Genomic DNA, 5,969 nt, shown 5'->3' on the forward strand with positions numbered 1-5,969 from the left:
TGATAAGGATGACATGAATATTCTTGTAAGGTTCTTGTGTGAACATAAGTTTTTATTTCTTTGGGATAAAAGCCCAAGCTTGTAATTGCTGAGTTGTGTGGCAGTTGCATGTTTAGTTTTATAAGAAACTACCAAACTGATTTTCCAGAGTGACTGCACCATTTCACATTCCCCATTCCTGCCAGCAAGGTCTAAGTGATCTAGTTTCTCTGCATTCTTGCTGGCATTTGATGTTCACACTGTTTTTAATTTTCTCCATTCAGATAGGTGTGTAGTGAGATCTCATTGTGGTTTACATTTACATTTCCTCATTAGGATGATACTGAACATCTTTTCATGTGCCTGTTTGCCATTTTTGTATTCTATGCAGTGAAATTCTTGTTGATATCATTTTTCCATTTCCCAATTAGACTTTTTGTTAACTGTCGAGTTTTGGGAGATGTTTATATATTCTAGATACTTATCTTAAGTCAGAAACAGGGTGCAAATATTTATTCATTGTAGCTTTCATTGTCATCATCTCAACAGGGTACTTTACAGAGCAAACATTTTAAATTTTGATGAGATTCAATGTTTCCTTTTTATGGATTACACTTCTGATGTCAGGTCTAAGAAGTCTTTGGCCCTGGACCCCAAATATCTTCTGCTATAGCTTTTTTCTAACAGCCTTGTGGAGATATAGTTTACATACCATACAATTCACCCATTTAAAGAATATAATTGAATGGTTTTTAGTATAGGCATACCTCAGAGATATTGTGGTTCGGTTCCAGTACACTGCAATGAAGCAAATATTGCAATAAAGCAAGTCACACAAATTTTTTGGTTTGCCACTGCATATAAAAGTTATGTTTATATTGTAGTCTATTAAGTGTGCAATAGCCCCATGTCTAAGAAAACAATGTGCCTACCTTAATTGAAAGACACTTTATTGCTAAAAAATGCTGACCCAGAATGAAGTGAGCACATGTTGTTGGAAAAATGGCACTGATAGACTTGCTCAGTGCAGGCTTACCACACACATTTAATTTTTTAAAAACACAATATCCACAAAGTGCAAAAAAGTGAAGTGTGCCTGTGTATCCCCAGAGCTGTGCAACTGCCACTCCAGTTTGAGAACATTTTTATCATTCCAAAAAGAAACCCAGTGCCTTTTAAATATCACCCCCAAACCCACTATTCCATCCCCCTCAGCCCTAGGCAATAACTAATCTTTCTCTCTATGGGTTTGCCTATTCTGGACATTTTATATAAGTGGAATCATACAATGTATGGTCCTTTGTGACTGGTTACTTTCACTTAGCATCATGTTTTCAAGGTTTGTGCTTCAGTGCTTCTTTTTTTTTCCCCGAGACAGAGTCTCCCTCTGTCGCCCAGGCTGGAGTGCAGTGGCGCGATGTCGGCTCACTGCAACCTCCGCCTCCCGGGTTCAAGCAATTCACCCGCCTCAGCCTCCCAAGTAGGTGGGATTACGGGCACGCACCACCAAGCCCGGCTAATTTTTGTATTTTTAGTAGTGACGGGGTTTCGCCATGTTAGCCAGGCTGGTCTCGAACTCCTGACCTCAGGTGATCCGCCCACCTCGGCCTCCTAACCTGCTGGGACCACAGGCGTGAGCCACTGCACCCGGCCCTTGTGCTTCATTCTTTTATGAATGAATAATCTTCCATCGTATGATATACAATGAATAAACATTTTGTTTATCCATTTATTTGTTGATAAGCATTTTAGATTGTTTCCACATTTTGACTACTATGAATAATGCTTCTAGAACATGTGGGTTTTTGTGTGGACATGTGTTTTCATATCTCCTGGGCATGAAAGAGATATGAAAGGCTGGGTGTGTTGGTGGCTCACACCTGTAATCCCAACAGTTTGGGAGGCCAAGGCAGGTGGATCACCTGAGGTCAGGAGTTCGAGACCAGCCTGGCCAACATGGTGAAACCCCATCTCTACTAAAAATACAAAAATTAGCTGGGCATGGTGGCAGGTGCCTGTAATTCCAGCTACTCGGGAGGCTGAGGCAAGAGAATTGCTTGAACCCGGGAGGAAGAGGTTGCAGTGAGCCGAGACTGTGCCACTGCACTCCAGCTTAGGCAACAGAGCAAGACTGTTTCAAAAAAACAAAAAGAAAGGAAGAAAAGAAAGAGATATGAAAACACATGGGAGTGGAAAGCTGAGTCAAATGATCACTATCTTTTTTTTGAGATGAAGTCTTGCTCTGTCGCCAGGCTGGAGTGCAGTGGCGCGATCTGAGCTCACTGCAACCTCTACCTCCCAGGTTCAAGCGATTCCTCTGCCTCAGCCTCCCAAGTAGCTGGGATTACAGGCACATGCCACCATGCCCAGCTAATTTTTTGTATTTTAGTAGAGACAGGGTTTTACCATGTTGGCCGAGATGGTCTCGATCTCCTGACCTCGTGATCCACCCGCCTTGGCCTCCCAAAGTGCTGGGATTACAGGTGTGAGCCACAGCACCTGGCCGATAACTATCTTTTTGAAGAACTGACCAATTATTTCCAAAGTGGGTGCCTCATTTTACATTCTCACCACCAGCATATGAGCACTGCGCAAGTTCTCCATATCCTCACCAACACTTGCTATTATCTTTTTTCAATTATAGCCATCTTAGTGGTTGTTAAGCAGTATCTCCTTTTGGGTGTGATTTGCATTTCCCTGTGACTACTCACGTTGAGCATCTTTTCATGTGTTTATTAACTATATGTCAACCCTGAAGAAATTTCTATTCCGATTTTTCATCCATTCTTTAAGTTGGGATATTTGTCTTTTTGTTTTTGAGTTGAAGGAGTTATTTATATATCCAGTAACAAGTCCCCTATCAGATAGATTATTTGCAAATATTTTCTCCCATCTGTAGGTTGTCTTTTCACTTTCTTTAAGGTGTCTTTTGAAGCACAAAAGCTTTTAATTTTTATGAAGTCCAATATATCTACTTTTTTTCTTTTGTTCCTTGTTCTTTGGTGTTATATCTAAGAAACCTCTGCCAAATCCAAGGTCATAAAGATTTACCCTTATGTTTACCCTAAGAATTTTATAGCTTTATCTGTTACGTATTTATGTCTTTGATCCACTTTGAGTTAATTTTTATATATGATGTGGAGTGGACCAATTGATTTTTCTCATGTGGATATCAGTTGTTTCAACACTATTTGTTCAAAAGACTATTCTTTCCGCATTGAACATTCTTGGCATCCTTGTCAAAAATCAATTGACCATAGATATATGGCTCCGTTTTTACACTCTGATTCTATTCCCTTGATCTACATATCTATCTCATGCCAGTATCACATTTTCTCGAATACTGTTACTTTGTAGTCAATTTGGAGATCAGGAAGTATGAAGCCTCCAACTTTTCTTTTTCAAAATTGTTGCTATTCTGGGTCCTTTGCATTTTCATATGAAGTTGAACATCAGCTTATTATTCTACAAAGAAACCAGCTGAGATTCTGGTAAGGATTGTGTTGAGTTTGTAGATCAGCACGATTCCGGGAGTGTTGCCATCTTAACAATATTAAGTCTTCCAGTCTATGAGCATGTAATGTCTGTCCATTTATTTGTATCTTCTTTTCTTTCAACAATGTTTTGTAATTTTCAGAGGATAAGTTTTGTACTTGTTAAACTTATTCCCAAGGTATTTTATTTTTTCTTTATTATGGTAAAAATATACATAAAATCTACTATTTTACTCATTTTAAGTATATAGTTATGTGGCATTAGGTAAATTCGCACTGTTGTGCTTTATTCTTTTTTGATGTTATACATGGAATTGTTTTCTTAATTATATTTTCAGATTGTTTTTTGACAGTGTGTAGAAATACAATTGATTTTTATATACTGATTTTGTCTCCTGCAGCCTTACTGAACTCATTCGTTGTAATTGTTTCACAATGGATTCCTTGGGGTTTTCTGTATACAACATTGATACGGTTTGGATGTTTGGTCCCTCCAAATCTCATTAAAATGATTCCCAATGTTGGAGGTGGGGTCTGGTGGGGGGTGTCTGGATCATGGACGGAGCCCTCGTGAATGGCTTGGTACCATCCCCGTGGTAATGAGCGAATTCTTACTCTGGTAGTTTATGCTAAGAGCTGGTTGTTTAAAGAATCTGCTACCTCCCTCCACCTTGCTCCTGCTCTTGCCATGTGATATGCCTGCCCCTCTGCCTTTCGCCATGATTGTAAGCTTCTTGAGGCCCTCACCAGGAGCAGGTGCTGGTGCCATATTTCCTGTATAGCCTGAAGAACTGTGAGCCAATTAAAATCTTCTTTATAAATTACCCAGCCTCGGGTGTTCCTTTATAGTAACACAAAACTGGACCAGCACAAATTTATGTCATCTCCAAATAGTTCTACTTCTTTCTTTCAGTCTGGATTCTTTTTCTTCCCAAATTATCCTGGATGGAACACTCAATAAATGTTGAATAGAAGTGGAAAGAGCAGATCTCTTTGTCTCATTCCTGATCTTAACGGGGAAACATTCAGTCATTCACTGTTAAGTATGATATTATCTGTGATTTTTTTTTTTTTTTTTTTTTTTTTTTTGAGACAGAGTCTCGCTCTGTCACCCAGGCTGGAATGCAGTGGTGTGATCACGGCTCACTGCAAGCTCCACCTCCCAGGTTCACGCCATTCTTCTGCCTCAGCCTCCCGAGTAGCTGGGACTACAGGCGCATGCTGCCATGCCTGGCTAATTTTTTTGTATTTTTAGTAAAGACGGGGTTTCACCATATTAGCCAGTATGGTCTCGATCTCCTGACCTCGTGATCCACCCGCCTCGGCCTCCCAAAGTGCTGGGATTACAGGTGTGAACCACTGCACCCGGCCAACTGTGATTTTTAATAGATGCCCTTTATCAGGTTGAGGATGTTCCTTTCTATTCCTAGTATATTGAGTAGGGCTTTTTCTCCCATCATGGAAGGGTGTTGAATTTTATCACCCAAATGCTTTTCTGTGTCTTTTATTCTATCATTAATTGCTATAGACTGAATGTGTGTGTTTCCTCAAAATGTATATGTTGAAATCCTAACCCCCAATGTTGGTATTAGGAGGTGAGGCCTTTGGGAAGTGGTTAGGTCATGAGGGTGGAGACCTCATGGAATGGATTAGTGCCCTTGTAAAAGAGACCTCAGTGAGCTCCTTTTTTTCTTCCGTCATATGAGGACACAAGAAGACAACTGTTCATGAACCAGAAAGCGAGTCCTCTCCAGATGCTGAATCTGCCAGTGCCTTGACCTTGGACTTCCAAGCCTGTAAAATTGCAAAAAATAAATTTCTGTGTTTATAAGCCACCAGTTCGTGATACTTTGTTATAACAGTCTGAACAGACTGACAGAAATCGTGGTGTTTTGTCTTTTATTCTGTTGATAATGGTGTATTACATTAATTGATTTTCAGATGTTAATTCAACCTTGCATTCCTGAAATAAGTCCCATTTGGTTATAATGTATAATCCTTTTTAAACATTGCTTGATTTTACTTGCTAGTATTTTGTTGAGGGTTTTGAGGGTTTTACATCATTTTCATCACAGTTATTGTAATGAAATACAAAAATCAATAGTATTCCTATACACTGTCAAAAACAATCTGAAAATAAGAAAACAATTCTATTTACAACATCAAGAAAGCATAAAGCACAATAGCGTGGATTTACCTAATGCCACAGAACTATATACCTAAAATGGGTAAAATAAATTTTATAAGTTCTCTTTTCATGTTTTTGTCTGGTTTTGGTGTCAGGGTGATACTGGACTGAAAGAATGTATTGGAAAAATTTTCCTTCTCTTCTATTTTTTTGTTGTTGGAAGAGGTCATAAAGAATTGATATTCTTTAGATATTTGTTAGATTCACTCATCTGGCCCTCTTGGGCTTTTCTTTTCAACTAGTGTTCTCATAACTAATTCAATCTCTTTAACTTATTACAGATCCATTCACATTTTCTACTTATTTCT

General features: G+C 39.0%; 1 protein-coding gene across 5 annotated transcripts in view; it reads left to right on the forward strand.

Annotated features, from left to right (window-relative positions):
• Positions 1-5,969, forward strand: part of KCNQ1 (potassium voltage-gated channel subfamily Q member 1) — a 404,098-nt gene that overhangs the window by 157,351 nt on the left and 240,778 nt on the right. The gene's annotated exons all lie outside the window — the stretch shown is intronic.

Source organism: Homo sapiens, chromosome 11, assembly GCF_000001405.40.
Source record: "Homo sapiens chromosome 11, GRCh38.p14 Primary Assembly".
NCBI lineage: Eukaryota > Metazoa > Chordata > Mammalia > Primates > Hominidae > Homo > Homo sapiens.